The sequence below is a fragment of the Homo sapiens genome, chromosome 1 (genome assembly GCF_000001405.40).
Source record: "Homo sapiens chromosome 1, GRCh38.p14 Primary Assembly".
Classification (NCBI taxonomy): Eukaryota; Metazoa; Chordata; class Mammalia; order Primates; family Hominidae; genus Homo; species Homo sapiens.
In genome coordinates, this window is record NC_000001.11 from 58,736,928 (window position 1) to 58,760,627 (window position 23,700).

At 42.8% G+C, this 23,700-nt stretch overlaps 2 long non-coding RNA genes across 2 annotated transcripts in view, besides 2 other annotated features; one reads left to right on the plus strand and one right to left on the minus strand.

Moving 5' to 3' along the window:
• Positions 1-23,270, plus strand: part of LOC112268263 (uncharacterized) — a 47,142-nt gene extending 23,872 nt beyond the window's left edge. The window contains exons 6-9 of the long non-coding RNA XR_007066129.1: positions 13,904-14,415; positions 20,716-20,873; positions 21,352-21,378; positions 21,560-23,270. This is a non-coding gene — a long non-coding RNA (uncharacterized LOC112268263). The remainder of the gene's footprint in view (positions 1-13,903; positions 14,416-20,715; positions 20,874-21,351; positions 21,379-21,559) is intronic.
• Positions 6,951-8,456, minus strand: LOC124904191 (uncharacterized). The gene is made up of 3 exons (XR_007066130.1): positions 8,373-8,456; positions 7,141-7,255; positions 6,951-7,039 (listed from the first exon to the last, which is right to left on the minus strand). It is a non-coding gene; the product is annotated as an uncharacterized LOC124904191 (long non-coding RNA).
• Positions 12,444-12,654: a silencer, noted in NCBI's record as "fragment chr1:59215043-59215253 (GRCh37/hg19 assembly coordinates)". NCBI's record gives its function as "represses an EF-1alpha promoter that drives an FKBP-Casp9 reporter gene in an ReSE screen in phorbol 12-myristate 13-acetate-treated (for megakaryocytic differentiation) K562 erythroleukemia cells {active_cell/tissue: K562(+PMA)}" and the evidence as "EXISTENCE:reporter gene assay evidence [ECO:0000049][PMID:32094911]".
• Positions 18,075-19,274: an enhancer, noted in NCBI's record as "MED14-independent group 3 enhancer chr1:59220674-59221873 (GRCh37/hg19 assembly coordinates)". NCBI's record gives its function as "activates an origin of replication core promoter dependent on BRD2, BRD4, P300/CBP and CDK7 cofactors, and independent of MED14, by STARR-seq in HCT116 cells {active_cell/tissue: HCT116}" and the evidence as "EXISTENCE:reporter gene assay evidence [ECO:0000049][PMID:35650434]".
• Positions 23,271-23,700: the final 430 nt, after the last annotated feature.

Below are 23,700 nucleotides of genomic sequence, written 5' to 3' on the forward strand. Positions count from 1 at the left end.
GGAAAAGACCAAGGATCCTTTCACCACACTGCAGTGTCAGCATCTCATAAGAACACACCCAGTTAATCCAGAATAGATAGGAAGGAAGAATGCTTTTGCACACACACATGCATACAAATGTGAGAGACTTCTCTGGCTTGATGCTAGGCCACTTCCCTTATAGAAATTGGCCAGCAGTGTGACAATTAATTAACTTTCTAAGTAGCTGATCAAACATCTCATTTACTCAGTCAACAGAGTGTTAAGACAGAAGCGTGGTGGAACGGAGAAAAGGGACCTTAGGGAGCTGTGAAGGAGGCTTTGCAAAGCAGATGACATTTGAGCTTGATCTTAAAGAATGAGTAAGTGTGTTATGAAGGGTAGTGGGTCGTGGGTATTCTAGAAAAGGGAACAGCATGGGCCATGTCTGGAGACTTTGGCTTGTTCAGCAAAGAGCAAGTAGTTAGGGGTGTATATATGTTTGTTATGTGCGAGGGGTGGGGAAGAGGAGAGACAATAGGAAATGAAAAACCACAACAAACTTCTTTGTACACAAATATTTCTTCACATTTCAGATAGTCATAGAATGTCTTAGATCTGGGCATGGTTTATAATATCAAAAATTGGAAATGGCCAATGATAGGAGAATGGACAAGTAAACTATGGTGTATTAACTCAAAACAATATTATATAATAACATAATTACATAATTTATTAAAAGTATTAGCAAATACTTTACATAAATGCATATTAAATAAATGACTATTAAATGAATAAATATTAAAAATAATGGCAAAGATCACAATTGCTTTTGCACCAACCTAATTATATAAGATTGTAATGAAGAACTTGTCACTTTACAGAAATATTTTGTGTGAATAATCCTAAGTGAAATAGTAGGATTTGGTGTGATCATATGCACTTAAAAAATAAAATAGGCTGAGCACAGTGGCTCATGCCTGTAATCCCAGCACTTTGGGTGGCCGAAGCAGGAGGATCACGAGATCAGGAGTTTGAGACCAGCCTGGCCAACATGGTGAAACCCTGTCTCTACTAAAAACACAAAAATGAGTCGGGCGTGGGGGCGTGCCTGTAATCCCAGCTACTCGGGAGGCTGAGGCAGGAGAATTGCTTGAATCTGGGAGGTGGAGGTTGCAGTGAGCTAAGATTGCAGCACTGCACTCCAGCCTGGGTGGCAGAGCGACGAGACTCTGTCTCAAAAATAAATAAATAAAATGAATAAATAAAAAAAATAAAATCCTAAACAGAAGGAAAAAAATGGAAGGAAATATTGTGGGCAGTTGTTATCTTTAGGTGATTTTCCCCTCTCATTCCTATTGATTAATTTTTGCACCTAGTTTATTGATAATGAAGATGAATTTATTTTTTATGTATTTTTGAAAAATCCATGTCCTGTCCTAAAGATTTTTGCTGCCAATTCCTTTATGTTCTGTGGTTATGGGACACTGTTTAGCTGTGACCAGAAGAGAAAAGGCCACAGTATCACCAAACCACCAAGAAGACAAAGGCTTAAGAAAGGAAGCCAAAGACCAAGGGGCATTAGGTCCTTGTGATTCCCGTCTCAGAGTGAAAGCACAAGTCGCAGCTTCAGAGGGCTTCCCAGAGCGGAGTGGGCAAAGCCGATGCATCCACAGTGTCTAGGCTGCGAGGAAACTAAGACGGCCAAATCCCACCCACTCCACCCCACCTTGAATTCCTTCTAAAGCTTCCACAGGTTCCTAGACTCATCTTGCATGCTCTCAGCAATAAGTAGTCCTCACAGTTGAGCCAGATCCCTCCAGCCAGTTTAAAAGTTCTGCCCAAATCTACTTTTCAGATGGCCCCGGTCCGGCTATATGGACTCACCCAGAACAAAGCTAACTTTGCACGTGACAACCCCTACTATTCTGACCTCACTAGATTAGGTTTCATGAGACCAGCCCTTAGGTCTGTTTTGCTGTATCCTCAGCACTCAATATGGTGCCACGTACAGAGTAAGCACTTAGGACATGTTGTAGGATGAATGAACAAGTGAAAGAGTGAGAGAATAAATTCACTCCTGAGTCTTCTCCTCTCCTGGCCAAATATCCCCAGTTCCTTCAACAGTTCTGATGTGGCTCCTGGACCTGTCAGCACTTGTTTTAGATATTCCCCAGCATGTCCGTGTTAAATGTGGATTTCAGGAACTTACACAATAGTCCTGGTGTGGTGTGGGGTGCACGATTCACAGGAACCATAACTTCCCTTATTTAGAACAACCTATTTTAATGAGGCAACTCAAGATCTTAAGAGCCATTATCAAAGCCACTAATGGTTAAAAAATCTGGACTATATTTTTAGGGGTTGGGGCCACTGCTATCAATCCCAGCAGCATGGTGTTCCTTTTTGACCATTCAAGACTCTGCCCAATGTTGTGGCAAAGGCAAGGGTAAGGAGTCAAAAGACCTGGATATGGGCATTGGGCTGGTAGCAGTAGCTACTATGGAGTCCCAGGTTCACTCTGGGCTAAACACTGTGCTAAATGTCTCACAAATATGTTCTCAGTTAACGCTTGTTGCAAGTAGAGTACTGTTTTTATCCATTTTTTACAAATAGAGAAATTACCTAAGCTTATTTCTGGCATTTCATTGTGCAGGAATCTCCAGCTCGTCACTCAAACTCTCTGGGCTTCATTTATTTTATCTGTCAAATGGAGATAATAATAATATCTGTCTTGGATAGTCACTGGGAAGATTTATTAAAAGGTTGCAGTGAAAGTAACTGATAAAGCCTATAAACTTGCAATACATTATTATAAAGGCTCCGATTTTCCAGAGCAAAGTCTGGAGACATAGATTTCAATTTCCTCTCTGTGTCTGTGTCTGCCATTCCAGATTGCTGTCAGTTAATGTAACAAATGTTTTCTTCCTTTCTCTAATCTTGGACATTTTTTTAATAGATTAAGAGTAATTACTCCCAAATGGATACATGAAAGCCCAATTTCTGCCTAACATGCATCAAACCATTCATAAATATGCTTTTCTATTTTATTTATTATTCTTCATTAAATCTATTTCAAGTGGAAACAAACAAATCCACTCTTTCCAAGTATTAAATTAACTCAACGCCAAAGGTGTTTCCTGTAACACTCTTCCAGCAGAGGGCACTATTTCTCTATAAAGAGGGTGCCTTAGTTTTCTAAACTGTGATCCTCAGATTTTGAGGTAATTTTTGCAGAGCCTCATAAATAAATTCAGACCCAAGTATTAAGAATTATTAATGAGGACAATGCCGTTTGGGTTTACTTCATGAAAAGAATTTTCAGTTAGTGCAGAAATGCTGATTTTTGCCCTCTGCCATATACGGTCAGGTATCTCCTTATTTAGAAATCACAGAATATGAGAGTTAGGGCCTTACAGATCACTTAGCCTGCAGATCACAAAGAAACTGCCTGCAGGTGAAATTCAGCCCACATTCATATTTTGTTTGCCTTGCAGAAGTTTATTATTATTGTTATCAGACTAACATTAACCAGGAGGGTGCACACAACATATAGATTTCTTAGCATATTAAAAAAAAAATAAATCTGAAGCTTTCACAATGCTGAGCCAACATGCCTCTATGGTGACAACTGGCTGGGATTCAATAAATTTACACCCTTGTGGACAGGACATATGCACACTAGTTCCCCAACAGTGACTTCTCATCCAGGCTGCCCCATTAGTATACATCAATTACCTGGACCTAAAAGCACTTGAGTTTATGACCTGTAGATTCTGGTCCAACTTCTTCATGTTACAGATGAAGACACTGGAGGCCAGAAATAGGAAGGGCCTTGCTCAAGGTCACACCACAAGTGAGGCGCTGAGACCAGGTCTCATTCCCAGGCCTCCCAACCTACGGGGTCACGGTCCTTTCCCACCTCTGGGGTTTCTCAAAATTAAGAATTGATCCTGACTCCTGCCTGTGCCTCTGTCAGAAAGCTTCAGTCCTTTCCTCCTTTACCCTAAGAGGCCAGTGTTCCCAGGCAGGTGGGAGGGCCACAAAGAGGTCCCAGACAGTGTAAAATGCAAGGAGAGGCTTTGGTGGTGGTGGTGGTTGGGAGTGGGGGGTGGGGTCGGGGAACAGAAAGAAGGGGAGAGGGGGCCCTCTACTAGTTCTTCTAGGGCCTTTTTCTTGGCTACTCCTGCTTTCCTAGGGCTAGTTTTGCTTCTCAGATCCTGATTTCTTGGGCTGATGGACAGAACTTGGAGAGCACAGTCAGAGAGACTTACTTTCTTAAAATTTCTGGGCCAGCCGGGCGTGGTGGCTCACGCCTGTAATCCCAGCACTTTGGGAGGCTGAGGAGGGTGGATCACGAGGTCAGGAAATCGAGACCATCCTGGCTAACACGGTGAAATGAAACCCCGTCTCTACTAAAAAAATACAAAAAAAAATTAGCTGGGCGTGGTGGCGGGGGCCTGTAGTCCCAGCTACTCGGGAGGCTGAGGCAGGAGAATGGCGTGAACACAGGAGGCGGAGCTTGCAGTGAGCGGAGATCGAGCCACTGCACTCCAGCCTGGGCGACTGAGCGAGACTCTGCCTCAAAAAAAAAAAAAAAAAATTCTGGGCCTTGGTTTCCTCATCTGTAAAGTGGAAGCATTATTACTTTGTGGAGCTTGTGTAAAAATTTTCTATTCGATAAGAAAAGCATTTGTGATTCATTTGCTTATTGACTGCCTACTAGATGTAGAATGTTTGGGGGTACAGCTATGCCTGAAACATGAGGATCCTAAATAAATGGCAGCAATTATTGGGGAGAAAAAGGAGACAGGCTTCTTGTTATCCTGTGGAGACTCTGTGCCTTTGGCCCTGAGGCCTCCACATTCCAACAGCTCTCCACCTAAGCCTGTGCTGCATATCTCGGCTGCACATTAAAATATCCTGGGCAGCGTTTAAAATCCTTGGTGCCCAGGCTCCTCCTAGAACAAGTAAATCAGAATCCCCAGGGGTGGTGTCTGGTCATTAGTGCAGCACAGCTGGGAACCACTGTCATAAATCCTCTTCCTACCATGACACAGCCTAAAGCCGTTTGCTTTCCTAGGAGCCACGTTGGCCACACGCTTCCTTTGCTGCAACCCCACTCCTGCCCTTTGAGTCTGGACATATTAATGAAATTCCTCTGACCTTCTATTTCTTTTTCAGGAAAATAGGGGTGTAGGGGAGACAGTTGGTAGCCTAACCGGCATCTGTTAGCTCCTTTTTCCATCTAAGCAGAAGGCAGATTTTGGAAGCTGACCACCTCCAGGGGTGAATCTGATTGGCCCAACAGTTATTCAGTCAATCCTCTTTTGTCAGTGATTGGTTTAGGAACGAGACTGTGGACCGAACTCCGTTATATAAGATGTGAAAGGAGGCCTCTAGGAAAAGTTTTCTTGCTCTTGAAAAAGAGGAAGAAGACCATTGTGTGGTGTTTTGATTTGACATGTGGAACTGCTGCCGCCATCTTGTGACCAGCCTGAGGATGAAGGCGACACCGGGGCACAACATGTAAAGATGAATGTTGGTTAACTGGAGTTTTTATTCAATAGAAAATTGAAGTGGCAAGCACGATGAGTAGAAGAGAACTAGAATTTACTGAGTCCCTATTATGTGCCAGACCCTCTGTTAAGTTCGGTATAATATGTGCCAGCTCATGTAATTCTGACAACTGTGGTCTGGCATTAGAAAGTAATCAGTTAGACTCTATTGATTTTTTTTTTTTTTTTTTTTTGAGATGGAGACTCCCTCTGTCTCCCACGCTGGAATGCAAAGGCGCGATCTAGGGTCACTGCAACCTCCTCCTCTGGGGTTCAAGCGATTCTCCTGCCTCAGCCTCCTGAGTAGCTGGGATTACAGGTGCCTGCTGCCACGCCCAGCTAATTTTTGTATTTTTAGTAGAGATGGGGTTTCACCATGTTGGCCAGGCTGGTCTTGAATTCCTGACCTCAGGTGATACACCCGCCTTGGCCTACCAAAGTGCTGAGATTACAGGGCTAAGCCACCGTGCCCGGCCGACTCTGTTGATTTTTCTTTTAGCTCTGACACTTAGGCAAATGCTTTCATCTCTCTAAACCTCAGTTTTCTCATCTGTGAGATAGAAATGATAGAATATATGCATTATGTGGTTGTTAGAAGAATTAAATGAAATAATGCTTGTAAATAATGCATGTAAATAATCTAGTAAATAATTAGGACCCAATGAAAACCAGGTGTTACATATGTTTATCAACCTGTAAGGCAGGTTATTAGTTTTATTATTATTGTTATTGTACTTTTTACATATGAATGGAATAAGAATTACAAGACCCAAGTGGACTTGCCTAAGATCTCACAGTGTGTAAGTGGCAGAGCTGGGATTTAAACTCAAGAATTCTTTTTTTTTTTTTTTTGAGATGGAGTCTCACTCTGTCACCCAGGCTGGAGTGCAGTGGTGCGATCTCGGTTCACTGCAACCTCTGCCTCCCAGCTTCAAGCAATTCTCCTGCCTCAGCCTCCCAAGTAGCTGGAATTACAGGTGCACGCCACCACGCCCAGTTAATTTTTTGTATTTTTAATAGAGATAGGGTTTCACCATGTTGGCCAGGCTGGTCAAGAATTCTTACTACTAATCCACTGTTCATGCTTTTTCTCTCCTCTCCTGCTTGCTATATTCAGTTGAGGAAATCCCAGTATTCTCCTGCAGTAAGTAGTCCATGGAGAATTCTTCCACAAACACAAGTTTTCAAGCAAATGAAATGAAAAAGAGAAGCTGAGTCTGAGGCATGGGTGTGACCCAGAGGCTGAGAAAAGCAAGGAACCCTCTTCAGCCTGACATACTTTAGGCTTGCAAAGAATAAAGGCTCATAGGATAATAGAATCTCAAGATCCAAAGAACCCTTAGAGATCATACAAGTATAACCCAACCCCATCCATGCTGAAATTCCTCTTTGCCTACCTTTTGAGATGGGGACTTCCAACTCTCCAGAGTGGGGCAACTCTGTTGAAAAGTTCTACCATTCCTTGAGATTACATTTGCATTTGCCTCCCTTGAAGTTCCACCCATTGGTCCTAATTGTAGCCTCTAGGGAAAGAAAGAACAACGCTCATTCCTTTGCTACATGGCTGGCTGCCCTTTGGAAGCATGGTGATGAGAGCTCACTTCACCTTGAGTCTCCTTCTCACCTTCAAGCTGCTCCATCATGCAGCTTTCTCAACTGGTCCTCAAACAATACTGTTTCCAACTCCACCACCATCCTGACCCTTCTTTTACTCCACCACCATCCTGACCCTTCTTTTGCTATGGAGGGATAGAAATGGAATCAACAATTGCAGAAGGGTTTCCTAACAATCAGAGCAGTTCCCCAATAGACCAAGTGGTCAGTTTGAAACATTATTGTTTATATGTAAATTATACTTTTAAGAAGTCACAGGGGGGAAACTATTACCTAATGTGGTGGGCATCTGTTTTTGTTTGTCCAACATCCATTTCATTTCTTTTGGGATTAAGATTAAAACTCCCTTGGGTGAACAACCAAAGTCATTTGGATACAGTCTGGATGAAACAGTTAGCAAGGTGCCCTACTGTCCCCTAGCCATAGGCAGAAATATGGTCCTCACTGGGCTGGCCAGATCTTCCTTCCCTAGTTGGACAGGAATTAGGGTGGATGGTTTGAACTCATGGGTTGTCAAAAGGGCAACCGGATTAGCCTGCTCATAGTTCCTGTGGAACCCCTAGAACCACTTCTGTCCTCCTCCCGGCTTCCTAAGCTTGGCTCCCAGCTTTCCTTTTGAACTTTTGAATTCCCCCATATATTCCCAGCATGTTTCCTTTCTGGTATATATTCATCAGATGTAATTTCTGTTGCTTACAGCTAAAGACCTTTGATTTATTTGGTAATAGAATAAAGGGCAAATAACATGATGGAATTTTGATAAAGCAGACTCAAAAACATAGGAAAAAATAAATACAGAATTTACTTAATCTCTATTATATTATCTTATGTTATAAATGTATGATGAATATTTTTTATGTTAATAATATTTTTAAAAATTAACTTTTATTATAAAAGAGCATGTGCTCATTATAGAAAATTTGGAAAACATATAATAGAAAGTGATATATTACCTATATAAAATTATTACTTGACTGCCAAAAGTCTGAGTCTATGCCCAGGGCAGAATTTACGCCACTCCATACTAGCCTGGCTTTTTGGTTACCTTTTGGTCTGTTTTTATTTCACTGGGAATGTGGGCCAGTGCTTATTTTCACAGCCAAGTTAATTAATGAGAAAATCCTCAGACTTTCCATTTATCACTTCCAAACACCCACTTTTGATGAGTCAGTTGCCATTTGGACAATATAGGATAATTTTCAAATTCATTACAACAGGACAACAATACAGCCCATTTCTTACTCATGTTATCTCCAAGGGATTCTGACTTCATTAATCTTTGGACCACCACTCTCAAACAGGGAAGGGACATTAATCACAGTTCTCCAGTGGGGGAGCAACAGGACCCGGAGAGAGCAAGTGGTTTGTCATTTATAGAGAAGTGCTGGAGTAATTGGAACTATATATCCAGCTTGGAGTCTTTCTAAAAAAAAAAATTTTTTTGCTATTAGACAATCAATCAACCATGTTTATATATTTAGTAGATACCTAATATATGCTATGAGTACTTAAATGTACGCAAAATACAAACAACTGTGGGTTATAGCTCTTATCCCCTTACAGTCCAAGGAGCAAGGAAAGACAAATCTGTTAGAAAAAACATAGTAGCACAGATATGATACTGTGTTGTTCATTAAATATAAAGCAGCTGCTGTTTTGTTCTTTGAACACAGTATAAAATCTAATTCCTTGGCTTTTATATCTTTTCTCTGCTTATGCAAATACTTGTTAGTATCTGTCATACACAAGGCTCTTTAACACACATCTCCTCTTTACATGATCACAACCACCGGGTGAAGGAGGCACTCCCATTTCATCCTACAGATGAGGGTGTGGCAGTGACAAAGCAGGTATGCCCTCTCCCTTCTCTCTCCCTGGGCTTTTCCTGGCTCCTCTTGCGCATCCCCACGGCCTTATCACCACTGCGTTCATGTGTCCCACATCTCTCTCTTAGCCTGGCTCTTTCTCCCTCTGCTGAACTTGAGAGTCGTAACCAAGTAACACTAGACAACTCCACCTAGAGTTTCTGCAGGCATATGAAACTCAATATGCCTTAGACCAAAGACATCTCTTTTCCTTCTCCAAACCTATTGCTCTTGTTTTGTTTTTAGTCCTGGAAAATACTGTCATCCACTGACACTCTAGCCAGAATCCTGAGAATCAGCCTAGATGCCTCCCTCCCCAGTGGACTCTTTTTCCATTCATTCAGCTATGATTGCTACTTCCTAAGTGTACCTCGAAACCTCCCCCTTCTCTCCATGTCCACCAGAATGATCCTGGCCCAGGCTCTCACCCTTTATCTGCTGCTTGTTGCATCAGCCTGTCTCTTCTTGTCCACTATCCACCTCTCTGTAATTCATCCTCTATGCAACAGAGAAAGGGGTCTTCTATAAGAGATGCAAATATGATCATGGCAGTCACCTATGCAATGGCTCCCCAGTGCCCTGGGTACAAAGACCAAACTTTTAAGCATGACATATAAGTCCTTTAGGATTTATTTTCAGTCTGCCTCTGAACCTCTCACCTTCTTACTTTGGCCTATTTTTTTTTTTTTCTGCCTGGAACTTTTTTTCACTTTCTTCATCACCTAACGAACTCCCATTCATCTGTCAAGAGCCGGCTCAGGTGCCATCTCCTGTAGGAAGCCTTCCCTGACCTCCAAGATGGAAAAAATTTGGGAGGCAGGTGAGTGAAGGCAGGGTTTGATTCCCCTGACATCTTCTTTGTATGGTCATGCTGGTCTGGCTGTGACCGTCAACTGTCAGTCACTCTTCCTCTTATGCTGATCTTCTCGACACTACTCTTCCCTTCTAGGTTCCCATAGCCAATTCCCTCTGTAATTCTTTTGAATGTTAGCACCACTGCTGCTAGCCCTGGGTTCCTGCACAGCCCTTATGAGTCACCTGCATCCCACCCACATCCTTGTAAACACTCCCTTTGTAATAAACTTTCTTAGAATTATCCTAATATGGGTGTTCCATAGGTTTCCTATCAGGACCCTGTCTGATCCACCAATATTTTGCAACCAGAATCATATAGTCTTCTGTTAACATTTCAAAGCTACATCATCTTCATTTCTGATTGATCTTTCATTGACCTTGGTTTGTAACTCTTTAACCTAAAAGTGAGGGCAAAATAGTTTTTCTATCCCATTTGCCAAGAGAATGAAAAAGCTATTAAAATACACTACCTTTATTTCCAGGACATAGATCTTATCACAAGAATCATGGCCAGGCACAGTAGCTCACACCTGTAATCCTAGCAGTCTGAGGTAGGAGGATTACTTGAGGCCAGGAATCAGAGACCAGCCTGGGCAACATAGCAAGACACTGTGTTTACAAGAAAATTATAAAAAGAAAAAGAATCATAAAAAACTACTAACAGATCTATCTATTCATTAGACTGTGTGCACCATGAGGGCAGGAATTGGGTCTTTTTCACCATTTATTCCCAAAGCCCAGCCCTGGAATACAGTAGACACTCAGTAATAGTCAATTAATGAACAGATCACTAGTAAGCCTTTAAAATATTTGTAGAATAAATGAATGAATACCTGGATGGAGAAAGAGTTGATATCCCAAACCTGTAAGTCTTAGGAACTCTGGTTGTTAACAAGTGAGCTCCCTTTTTTATTTTGTCCCCATGCCAGGATACTGAAGTGTTATTTTGGTAGAATTGGCAATTTTCTGAAAGAAGTTGAAAATATCTTTCTTGGGTTGGGCAAAGTGGCTCACCCGTATAATCCAAACACTATGGGAGGCTGAGGGAGGAGGATCACTTGAGGCCAAGAGTGGGTTGGGCAAAGTGGCTCACCCATATAATCCAAACACTATGGGAGGCTGAGGCAGGAGGATCACTTGAGGCCAAGAGTCGGAGAACAGCCTGGGAAATAGAGTGAGCCCCGTCTCTACACAAATAAACTAGCCCCTGGCACCATAGCAGCCTGAGGGCGCCTGGGCCCAGTCCAGGAAGCTAAACAGGGTCGGGCCCAGTGGGAGCTTGGAAGGGGAGCCGCCTGGGGAGCCCAGGGGCTAGAGGCTTTTGCTGGGGGAGGTGTGAGCCACCTGTAATCCCAGCACTTTGGGAGGCAGAGGCAGGTGGATCACCTGAGGTCGGGAGTTCGAGACCAGCCTGACCAACATGGAGAAACCCCATCTCTACTAAAAATACAAAATTAGCCTGGTGTGGTGGTGCATGCCTGTAATCCCAGCTACTCGGGAGGCTGAGGCAGGAGAATCACTTGAACCCGGGAGGTGGAAGGGAGGCGGAGCTTGCAGTGACCCGAGATTGTGCCATTGCACTCTACCCTGGGCAACAAGAGCAAGACTCTGTCTCAAAAAAAAAAAAATAAATGAATAAATAAAAATAAACTAGCTGGGTATGGTGGTGGGTGCCTGTAGTCCCAGTTACTCCTGCTGAGGCAGGAATATTGCTTGAGCCCAAAAGTTGGAGGGTGCAGTGAGCTATGATCACACAACTGCACTCCAGCCTGGGCAACGGAGCAAGACCTTGTCTCTAAAAAAAAAAGAAAGAGAAAGAAAAGATGTATTCTATTCAAGGTGTCTCTGGAACACATACTTGGAGAAAGAACACTGCTGGAGTAGAACCACTAACCATGCTGTCACTCCCATCTTCTCCCTGACCCCCCTTGTCCCACCCCTTCAGATTTGACAACTCTGTAGGAAACCAATTTGCCGTTAATCACAAGGGAGTTTTATTTACTCTGCTGAAAGAATTGAAAAGCAGTCATTTTTATTAGCACCACAGCTGGTTCTTCCATCATGGAAGAAATACAATTATGCGTCTTCCTATGGCTGAATGCAGACAGCTACAACCTCATTATTCATTCTGGTAGGAAGCAGGCCTTTATAATGAGCAGAGGGAAAAATGTGCCCCAGTCTCATTTGTAAAAGGAACAAATCTTAGTTCCTCGAATGACATTGCCACTGTCACCATAAAAAAAGGCTTTTTATTTGTTTGGTTATGTAATAGGGTGCTATCACTTTGGAGGCAGAACCAAAGGCAGTCATTATGATGTAGTGGAAAGAGGGTAGGCTCTGGCATCAGGCCAGCCTGGGTTCAAATTCTGGCCCTGTTTCTTATCAGCTGTGAATAGGGAGCCCATTAGTTCTTCTGAACCTCCGTTTTCTTATTTGTAAATTGGAACGAGTAATAGAACAGCTTCGCAGGGTGGTGGCAAAGATTAGAGATTAAATTCCTACATGTGGCATCCAGCACCTGTGATAACATGATCTGCCTCTGCCTACCTCTCCAGCTTCATCTCCCACCCCTCAAACCTGGCATTTCTGCTGCAGCCGAACTTGCCATACTTGCCCATGCTCCCCTGACTTTGCTTATGTTGCCCCCTCTGCCTGAGTCACATGCCCTTTTCATTTCCCTTGTTCCTCTGGCAAACTTCTTTTCTTAAAAGAAGTCTTCTTCTTAGTCCCTCCCCTAGACAGGCACTGGCACCCCCTTTCTGTTTTTGTCACCCTTTGGACACACCTCACTATAGGAAGTGGCCGTGCATTACAATGGACTTGTCTGCTTACATATCTACACCAAGCATCAGTCTGTAAGCTGCTTAAGAAGTAAGAACTGTGTGCCTGACTTACATGTCTACTGCTGACACTGTACCAGGCAGAACTGGTGGTCAGGAAATGATTTACCGAATGAACAAATGAATCAATGAAGACTTGGGTAAAGCACTTACTGCCCTGTGTGAATCCAGCAGGCACTGTTGATTGTTAAACCACTGTCAACTCATTCCCTTGAAAATTCTCACCAAAGAGGCACCCCAGCTGGTTAGAGAAGTGGAGAGCCTGGTTACCCAGTTTGGGGCAATGAGTCATTGGAGGGAGTCTATTGAGGAGGTATTTGAGTTTCTCTTACTTGTCCTCAGACATCCCAACTGGATCTTGGTATAGAATATTCAATTCTAAAGGTGAATTTACCTTTATCCATCCTCATCTCTTGATGCAATTAGCAAAGTATGGCATCATTTGGAGTCAGACAAATGAGAGTTTGAACTTAATCTCCATTACCTTGTTTCCTACAACAAAAGATGACATGGCATGATGGTTAAGAATACTGTCCTGGGAACCAGACGGCCTGGGCTTGAGTGTTGGCTCCATTTTGAAGTTGTTGGACCTTGGGCAAATAATCTGTAAAATCAGAATCATAATTGTACCTGCCTCATAGGGTTAAACAGAATCATGAATATAAAGTACTTAGAATAAAGTCTGACACATAGTTAGGGCTGTATTAATGTCAGCACTATTTTTATTAATAATACCAGTTGTGTAACCATAGGCAATTTCATATGTTCTCTGAGATTTGGTTTGAACATCTAGAAAATGATGGTTAAAATGCCTCTGTAGCAGGATTGTGGTGAGGGTGTTAATTCATGTGCGTGGAGCATCGAGAACCGCACTGGCATGTGGCCACAGCTGGGCAAAGAGGGAAGAAAGACCATGACAAACTTTGGGACTTGGATAAACTGTGCTCTCACCTTTGCTCCTTGTGTACCCCCGGTCTTGTCCTCCTGCTCAAGGCCAATGGCAGCCCCTGAGGTCTGGACCCCTCCCCTTCTGCTTTCTCAGGGACCTTGTGCTATCAATTAAGCTCCTATCCCTTCAACCTTTTCCACTTGGCTTGCTTCTCCTCAAAAGCATTTAAATAGGCTCTGGTCTTTTCTAACTTAGAACACCACCTTCAAAAAAAATCAACTCTTCCCCCACTGTCCCATTCTTTCTCCCTCAATTTTTTCACAGCCAAACTCCTTGCAGTATTTGTCTACACAACCTGTCTCTACTTCCTCACCTCCCACTCAATCCTCCTGATGGTGCAGCCTTTAAAAACCGTGTTGAATACTTGGAGTCTGGAAGAAGCAAGGTAAAGAGAGCAAAGGTTATTTTCACCCTGAAGAGACAGCCTTTAGAGAAGTACAGCCAGGGAGTGATCGAGTCCCCTAACAAAGACACTTTGGTGAACCAAGAATGGGATGGCCCCGACTAGAGTTGGTCTTCACTGCCAGATGTCCAATCTATCTTCACAGCACATTGGGCAGAACCCACAGTTCTCTCATCTCATGACATACATGCATGCAGATCCCTCCTGAATTATGAGCCCTTTTCCTGGCAGCACCAGACTCCAGATCAAGCCTAGTACAGCCAGAGCCAGTCTCTCTGTGCCCTTCCAATCAACAGCCTTCTCTGCAATAAGGAGGGGACCCATGGCTTCAGTGAGGCCCAAGCAATACCAAGAAGAGAAGAAGGATATGAAGGTAAAACATCTACGGAGTTGTAAGTTTCTAATTTTTTTTCTGTGTTTTCCTTTTCTTCTGCTTTATAATCATTTATAATGAGGAAAGGCCAGGATCAGATGCCATTAACTTCACTCTAATATTGTCCACTTGGGAGGTCACCCAGGAACACCTGAAATGCCATACCTAACAGCTCCAAAAGATGATAGGTAGTGTTTGAGAAGCAAATGCTACAGAGCTCTGCACATTCAAGAGCTCATTTAATTTTTTTAACAAATATATGAGGCAAGGGCCCTTGCCCACCCCATTTACAAATAAAGAGACTGATATTTAGGGTCAGCAGCATCTACCCTCTGCAGGGCCAACCATATGTCAGGTACTGACCTAGCTGAATACTTTGAAAACAATCCTCACAGCCACAGCTTTATAGACAAGTGTTATTGCCCCTTCTTTGCAGATGAAGAGCATAGGATTTGGTACCAGACAAGGCTGGGCCTAGTACTTACTAATTAGATGGGTGACCTTGGGTGACCTTCTTAAGTTCACCCAAATATATAAAGTTTACCATCTATAAAATATCAGGGCTAGGCTGGGCATGGTGGCTCATGCCTGTAATCCCAGCACTTTGGGAGGCCAAGGTGGGTGGATCACGTGGTCAGGAGTTGGAGACCAACCTGGCCAACATGGTGGAACCCCGTCTCTACTAAGAATACAAAAATTAGCCGGGCATAGTGGCATGTGCCTGTAATCCCAGCTACTTGGGAGGCTGGGGCAGAAGAATCGCCTGACCCAGGAGACAGAGATTGCAGTGAGATGAGATTGTGCCACTGCACTCCGGCCTGGGCAACAGAGTGAGACTCCGTCTCAAAAAAAAAAAAAAAAAAAAAAAATCAGGGCTAAATTGAATGAGCTGAAAGGTCCGTTCTGACAGAACTCTCTTCAACCTAATAATTGCTAAGTATCTCCTCATAACTCCCAAATGTTAGTGTCAGCTCTATATACTGGAGTCACAGAAAACAAGTTCTTTCAGTTTTAGGAGAGGAAATAAAGTGGGTGGAGAAAAAGAACTGGATGGTCTGTAGCTGCCATTCTGTTTCCTTTTCACTAGGTTGTTCTTAGCGGACTTTTAACTTTCCAGATTCTTCTAATTTTTATTTTTATTTTGAGGCAGAGTCTCACTCTGCTACCCAGACTGGACTGCAGTGCACAATCTTGGCTCACTGCAACCTCTGCCTCCAAAGTTCAAGTGATTCTCATGCCTCAGCCTTCCTAGTAGCTGGGATTACAGGCGTGCACCAACGCTTGGCTAATTTCTTTGTATTTTTAGTAGAGATGGGGTTTCACCATGTTGGCCAGGCTGGTCTCGAACTCCTGACCTCATGTGATCCACCCACCTTGGCCTCCCAAAGTGCTGGGATTACTGGCATGAGTCATCACACGTGGCCTAGATTCATCTAAATTTTAAAACATGGGATGTTGCAATCAGATAGAAGAGCCAGATCCAGTATTGGCAGCTGTTACTGGTTTTGTGACCTGAAGAAGCTAATCAATGTTTCTAAGCCTCAATTCCCTTCTCTGTAAAAGTGGGTGCTCACAGTGTTGTTGAGAAGATTAAGCAGGGAAGAGTGTGTGAAACTACCTTACACATAGCAAGGGCTCAATAAATGGTAGTAACTGTTCTTTGTTTTAAAAAATTTTTGCTTAATCCACTGCACAATAAAGTGACCCATGGAAGACCTTGGGAAATGTTTACAGGTTTCAAATTTGGTGTTTGCCAAGTATTGCAAAACATCTACCCCTCCTCACTACACACTTGTACTCCTGTTAAAATACATTACTGTGCTTGAAGGTGTCCAGTCTTCTATTGTCTTGCATAGTAGCACAGGCGAGCTTGGTGAAGGTAGGTGGAATCAGGGTGTGTTTTCAGCAACAAGTGAGCAGAGGAGCTGAGCGGGTGGTTCTGAGCAAAGGGCCCGAGAAGTGACAGCAGAGGGGGAGTGATGCCGAAACGATAATATTAGAGTACACAGAGTAATGCACAGCTGCCAGGTCACACAATTTGAGAACTGCTTCAGAACAGTCAACTCTTCCACGCTGTTGCTAAGAGACGGGGGAGGTGGGGAGGCATTCATCCCTTGAACAAAAGGGAGGGGAAAAACACGAACAGACATGAACTCTAAGTTTTGGAAATGATTTCATGGACTCCTATTTTCTGAACGTTAGTGTCTTTGGAGACATTTTCATGTGTTGAGTTCCTACTGTGTGCTATGTGTGGCTCAAGGCACTGGGGAGAGAGCAGTGGACAAAGTCCCTGTTTTCATGGAGCTTCTATTGGATTTGGTCTTCTCCTTTGATGTTGAGGGGACTGACTGAGGTCCTCAGAAGGGAAGAACTTGCCTAAGAACTGAAGGCAACCTATTGGCAAAGCTGATATTTGAATCCAGGCCTCCTAAATCCAAGATCGAGACTTTTTCCATATACTACATTTTACAAAAGAGATTCATCTGCAGCAGATTTTAACGTTAGCTAGGACTTAAGTACCTCAGCTAGGTCAAGGTCCATTCACTGGAGATTTCTGCAAATGAGTCCAAAAAAATGATGTTTTTTTAATTTCAAGTGTCCCACGGAGAAGTTTCATATTTATTCAGAGTCCTTGTCTTCCATTATTACACCTAGTTGAATGAAACTGTATAGTATGAAAGGAGGTAGGGAGAATCAAAACAGGAAAAAGATTTGGGTATCTCATAACTGCTGAAAATTAGCAAGACATGGAAGTCAAGAGATCTGGGTGCAGAAGCAGTTTCTACTTCTTCCTACCTGTGACCTTACCTCTTTAGGCCTGTTTTCCCACCTATAACATGAGGGATTGCATTATAATAATCTCAGCATTCTTCTCCAGCTCTAAATTTATGATGAGTCACCCAACAGTGCCATGCAGTGAAAATAGCCCTAAGGCCCTAAGATGTAATTTCAGAGAGTGACTGTGGTTCAAAGATGAAAAACTGAGTGTTAATTGCCCCTTCTCCTGTGCTCCCATGGTCCTAGGGCAGGGTGCTGCTGTAGTGCACATTCTGCTGTGCATGCTGAGAAGCTGGCTCCGGGTCTGCACCAGCAGAAAGGTCTGTGCTTATGGAGGGTGAGCACTGTGTCCTGTGCACTGCCACGTGACTGTTTTTGTAGGCCTTTCTTCCCATCAGACCATGACTACTTTGATGGCAGGGACCATGTCTTATTTATCCTTCTGCCTTAGTGCCTGCCGCTGAGTAGTCTGTAGATGTTTACAGAGTGAAGGAATCAATGAATAATGACTGAGTGAGAAAACTATACTTTTTCAGGGTCAATAAAGGAAATAGCACAAGAGAATCTCCCCTGATAAACTTGTCAAAGTGATCCCAGAATTAAACATTCAGGCTGGAGAGGTTATTAGTGACTTGCTTAAGGCCACATTGTTTAAAAGCAGCAAAGCTAGGACTCCTTTCCTCTCTCCTTTTCTTTCTTTTATTCAGTACCCCAAAAGGGTGTTTGGCTCCAGCATTGAACACAGGTGACTTTGAATAACAATTTATCGGAACAAGATGAATTTTGAAGCAGGTAGGAGGGTGGCTTTTGAGTCTGACAGATGTGGGTTCAAATCCTCTGGGGCCGCTGACTATCAGTGTGATCTATGGCAACTTAACCTCCCGGAAGCTCAGTTTCCTCGTGTGAAAAGTAGAAGTGATAACATCTCCACCATCTCCCTTGCAGGCTGCTTCTGTGGGGTCATTTGAAGGCTTATGGTTAACCCAGATAAGAGGTAGGATGGGAGTTTCTAACACAAGTCTCTTACTGTCCTGCACGATTTGTTGCTTCAGAGAAATGGGGTCTTCTCTATCTTTTTTGAAATTCCATTGTTGGCTTAGACAATGAGTAGCCTTCTGTGTATGTGATGTACATTCTCCCCCAGACCTACTGTTATGTATTTTCCAGCCTACTGAGGTAGTCCAGGCCCATTCACTATACACATCAGTGTGTGCTGGCTTGTGTTTTTACCCTTTCTGCAGCTACAGCCTGAACTAAGACTGGGTCCTTGCAGCTCTCCAACACATGATTGCTGCCTGCCAGAACCACAGACCTTTCTCGGGACTGGCACGAATTTCAGCCAACAGAGCCTGCACAGAAACACATGGAAAAGGCTTCCGGTGGAGCTTACTGTGAGTCACAGACAGCCATAGTTGCACTGGATAGAGAGCTGGCAGATGCCATCAGCATATGCCCTTAGAAACTTTGGTTGTTTTGTGGCCTGGAGAAGAGCCCAGAATTATGGAGCCTAAGAGGCAGCACCTCTGCTTTCTGAAGAGGAAGCCGTAGTGCCGTGGACTTCACCACGTGCACAGTGGCTGCATCCAGACCTGAATGCCCCTCTCATTACTCACCGGAAGTGAGCTTTGAACACTTCACACAGGAAGATGACTCGCTCCTCCAACAAGATGCAGAAAGTCTTTCCAAGCAAATGACTTGAAGTGTTTAAATATTCTGTTTCTTAGTCTGCTTTTTTTCTGTTAAATCCTTCAGCTTGAATGAGCACCTTTATCTGCAAATTGATCTGGTTGTAGCATCCCTTGACCATGTAGGTGGATTTTTAATTTGTACTTAAGGCCAGTTACAATATGCCATCTGCAACTCTGCTCCCTTTATGCTCCTGTAGCACTGCTATAGAGAGGAAGGGTTTGTCGTAGCAATGGGAAATAAAACAATGAGCATACAACTTTTACAATTGGAAATGAAGAAGCATAAAAAAAAATAACGGCTGATATTTGTTATCGGTCAGGCCTGAGTATGAGAATTATGGGTCTCTAACATGCCTGAATTAGCAAGAGGATGAAATTGCAAGAAGGCAGGCTGGAGAACAACCTCTTGACCCCACTCAGCATTTTGGAGCATGGCAGCTTAACAGATCCAACACAGAAAACAAGGGAATGGGTTAGTCTGGTGCTCATTCTCAAAGGTAGATGTGTCTGAAGTGAGAACTCTTGTTTGCATTCTCTGGAACCAAGTAGGGATCTGTCATCTTTTGGGAAGATCTGTCCTTCCTCAGCAGGTGTCCCATCAGCAAGGACAAAATCTGGAACCCAGATTCCAGGGAAAGAAACTAAGAAGAGCTAGGCATGGATCCAGGCCATTCAACAATAGGCTAGGGACAACAGCAGGCTCTGAGCTCAGGGAAGGGACGCTTGGGCAGAAACTAGTCTTACGGGATTGGGGAAGGTAGCACAGTATCACAGGGAGAGCATGTCTTTGGACTTGAAGAGACATAGATTATAATCCCAGTTTTGGTGCTTACTAGCTATGTGATTGCAGGTAGGTCAGTTTCCTTCATGGGACTCATCTGCAAAATAATTCTTACAGAGGCATCATAATACCCAAGATCATAGTCAAATAAACTTGGAATAGAAACTCTGGCCCATCATTTATGAACCATTAGTTCCTTAACTTTTGTCCTAACCTTCCTTAAGCCTCAGTTTTCCTATCTGTAAAAAGGAGATAAGATTACTTATCTTAGATCTAGTGTGAGGATTAATTGAAACATTGCAAGTACAATACTCAGCATAAGGCTCAGAACACAGAACACATTCCATAAATGGTGCTATGATTGGTCCTGGGATATTGGCTCCTGGTCTGGTTGGCAGTGAAGGCAAGGAAAACATGTGTGTGGGATATGCTGACAGTTTAGGGGATGTCCTAGAGTTTCCCATAGTTGTCCCAGTCAGTTTGATCTTGGTATTATGCACTAGGCTGTGTACTGTTTGGCCCCAGTTAAGATTCCAGGTCTGAGAACATTTTTGAAGCCCCTAGATGGATGGGCTGAGGTGATGAAAGAGGTAACTTTGATATGAACTATGCCTCAATAAGTGGGTTCTGCAAACTGGGGAAGGCAGGGCTGAAGCTGACAGCTTTATAGTTCAAAGAGTGTTTTCCCAAATATGATTTAATTTAATTTAACCCTTATAGCTTGCATCACCAAAATTGTCCCCAAATGAAGAAACAAAGATCCTGAGAGGTTCCCTAAGTGGGAGTCAGTGCTGGTACAGGGTCCTGAACTTGGCAAGACTGCAAAACCATGCTCCACCTGTGTCGCAGCAAGGCTGTGGTGTCTGTCCCAATGCAGTAGTCAGTGAGGATCTGCTCTCTGCTCAGTCCTGTGGAGGAGGCTCATAGTGTTGACCCTGTTCCTGCCCTATATATATGTGTATAGTATAATAATAATAATTCTGGGGATGTAATACAGTTACTATTTGTTGAGCACTAACTGCTTAACATATGCCATCTTATTTTTTTTCACAGAAAAACACCATAAATAGGATTTCTGATGTCCATTTTATAGATGAAGAAGGAAGGTTTAGCAAGGCCATTCAAGGATACACAGCTAGAGGACGAGATGGAATTGAAGTCCCTTTGTCAGCATCCTTTTCATTCTTGATGCCATTTCATTTCCCCTCCTGGTATGTTTTGTTATGCAGTTAGCTTAGGCCTAATTTTATATAACCAATTATAAACTGTGAAATAGGATTCTGGTATGAATTTCCTATTCTTCTCCCACTAAGCAACTGATGAATCCCTTCGTGGTCAGATGTGACGAATGGGATTGTTTCTGTTCTACTATGGTTTGAATTTCTACCTTGATAATTACACAAAAACACTATCAACAAAGGTGGACGCCAGGTAAACACTGCTCCCTCCTAAATGCTTCTATGGCTGAGATCCATTCTCTTGCTCTTTTTCTCCTTTCTTCAAGAACAGATGTTCATATTCTTTGCCAATTTTTCTACTGAGTTATAAGAACACATTATATATTAAGAAAATTAGTCCTATTTATTTGTCTTATAGGTTAGAAATATTTACCTGTTGGTCAATGGTCTATCATCTGAATATATAGTATTTTTGGGGGCCTCTGCATAATAGTTCTGTATTATTTTTTAGGAAAGCCTTCCCACTCCAAGAGAAAAAGTAAGTTATTTATATATCCACATCTTATGGGTCTTTGACTTTCTATTCTCTTCCACTGAATTGTCTATTTCCCAATTTCAGTTGTTACAATATTTATAGCTTTATAATTTGAGCTAATATCTGCCATTTTAAAGCTTTTTTTCTGGCTTCTGTTGCATTTTTATGTCTTTATTTCTTTCAGCTATTATACAAATGATACAACCTGCTATGGAAAAAAGAGAAATAACAGATAAGTATACAAAGAAAATACAAGAAAAACATGAACAGTAATAATCTTATCCAAATGTTACTGAGATATTTTTGGAGTACTTAATTTCAATCTTTTTCCTATATGCAAACACACACAACTTTTCTCTAACAAAAATCAGATCATACTGTACTAGCAAACACCCTACCTGAAATCTGTATATCCATTGCCTATTGATTATGCCCATTGCTTAACATACTATGTTTTATTTAATCATTATTTAATTGTTGAGTATGCAAGTTATTTCTGAGTTTTCACTCAAGCTGTTTACGCTTATTTCTGTCTGGGTGTGAATGAATCTTTGGCACATTCCTCTAGCAAGTTGATCAACATCTGGTCTAAGATATTCTTCGGTGTTGGGTTTGTGCTGTCCACATCAGCTTAGCAATGTCTGCACAAAGACTCCTTCCCCCTCAAAAGTGCCATTCAGACTTGCTGTGGGTATAAGGGGAACAATCTCATTGAGGAGAAAGTTGTCATTGTGGTTGAGAACATGAACTTTGGAATTGGATAGAGCTGTGTGAATTTGGCCTAAACTCCGAGTCTGCTTCCACATCTGTAAAATGTAGACACAAATAGTTACTCATAAGGTTCTGGTGGGGATTAAATGTGGTTATACCTGTAAAGTCCTTAGCATTATGCCCAGCACATAGTGAAGATGTTCGATAAATGATAACTAAACAAACATTGTGTCCCCTCCCACTACAACCACACTGCTCTCCCTCACCTTACAGACTTTGCTGCTTGACAATCTTGGGGTGGGGCTGCTGAAAACTGAATCTCAATTTAGGAAGCCATGTTGTCCCAGGATTAGGGTTATTGGCCTCACATAAGAATCTCCAAATCTGCAGAATCTCAGGCCCCACCCAAAAACTATTCAATCAGAAACTACATTTTCAAAAGATATCCCAGATGATTTGTATGCATAGTAAAGTTTGAGAAGGTTTTAGTCCAGGTATTCAGGAAGTGATGCTGGTTGTGTATGGAGGACAGGGGCCCAGGAACTGATGAAATCTCTAGTTTGGAATTCTCGATAGCATTTGCATTCTTTTTTTTTTTTTTTATCTCAAATCCATCACTCAGTAGCAATGTGATCTTCACAAAGCTCCCTTTACTTTTACCACCATAGTGTTGTAGGAGAAGCTCTATCTTCCAAGTCAGACAGATCTGGGCTTCAATTCCAGCTTTGTTAACTGGAGGACTTATTATTAGCTGGGAGGACTTGCGACAAATCATACCAACTTTCTGAGCCCAGTTTCCTTCCCTGTAAAATGTAGATAATACACCTTTCTTGAGGTGTTACTAGAGATAACCAATGATAAAGTGTTTGGGAAATCTGGCATATCGTAGGGGTACAATGAGTAAGTGGTTTGACTCCAAAGACCTGAGTTTGGATCTCAGCTCCACAACTCACTTGGCTGATTGCTTTCTTTCCCTGGACTCAAGTTTCATCATCTGTAAAACTGGCATTTCAACCAAATAACTTCTGAAGTCTCTCCCTCCTTTAAAGCTTGATATTACAAGGGCAAATTTTAGTACAAATATCCAAATCCTAACGGTAACTCACAATTACAAAAGAGCTGAGTCTGTCATTCACCTGTCAAATTATCTAAACTGCGTCTCAGTCAGGAGATGTGAAAAGAAGGATGGATTTTCTATGAATGTTTTCTTTTTTTTTTTTGAGACGGAGTCTCGCTCTGTCGCCCAGGCTGGAGTGCAGTGGCGGGATCTCGGCTCACTGCAAGCTCCGCCTCCCGGGTTCACGCCATTCTCCTGCCTCAGCCTCCCAAGTAGCTGGGACTGCAGGCGCCCGCCACTACGCCCGGCTAATTTTTTGTATTTTTAGTAGAGACGGGGTTTCACCGTTTTAGCTGGGATGGTCTCGATCTCCTGACCTCGTGATCCGCCCGCCTCGGCCTCCCAAAGTGCTGGGATTACAGGCGTGAGCCACCGCGCCCGGCCGAATGTTTTCAATTTGATAGAAACAAGTGACTCAAGGAAAGTGTTGACAGTTATTAAATTGAGTTTCCATATAATAAGGGCATATAATAGGTGACAAATGACAGGTCCTGAGA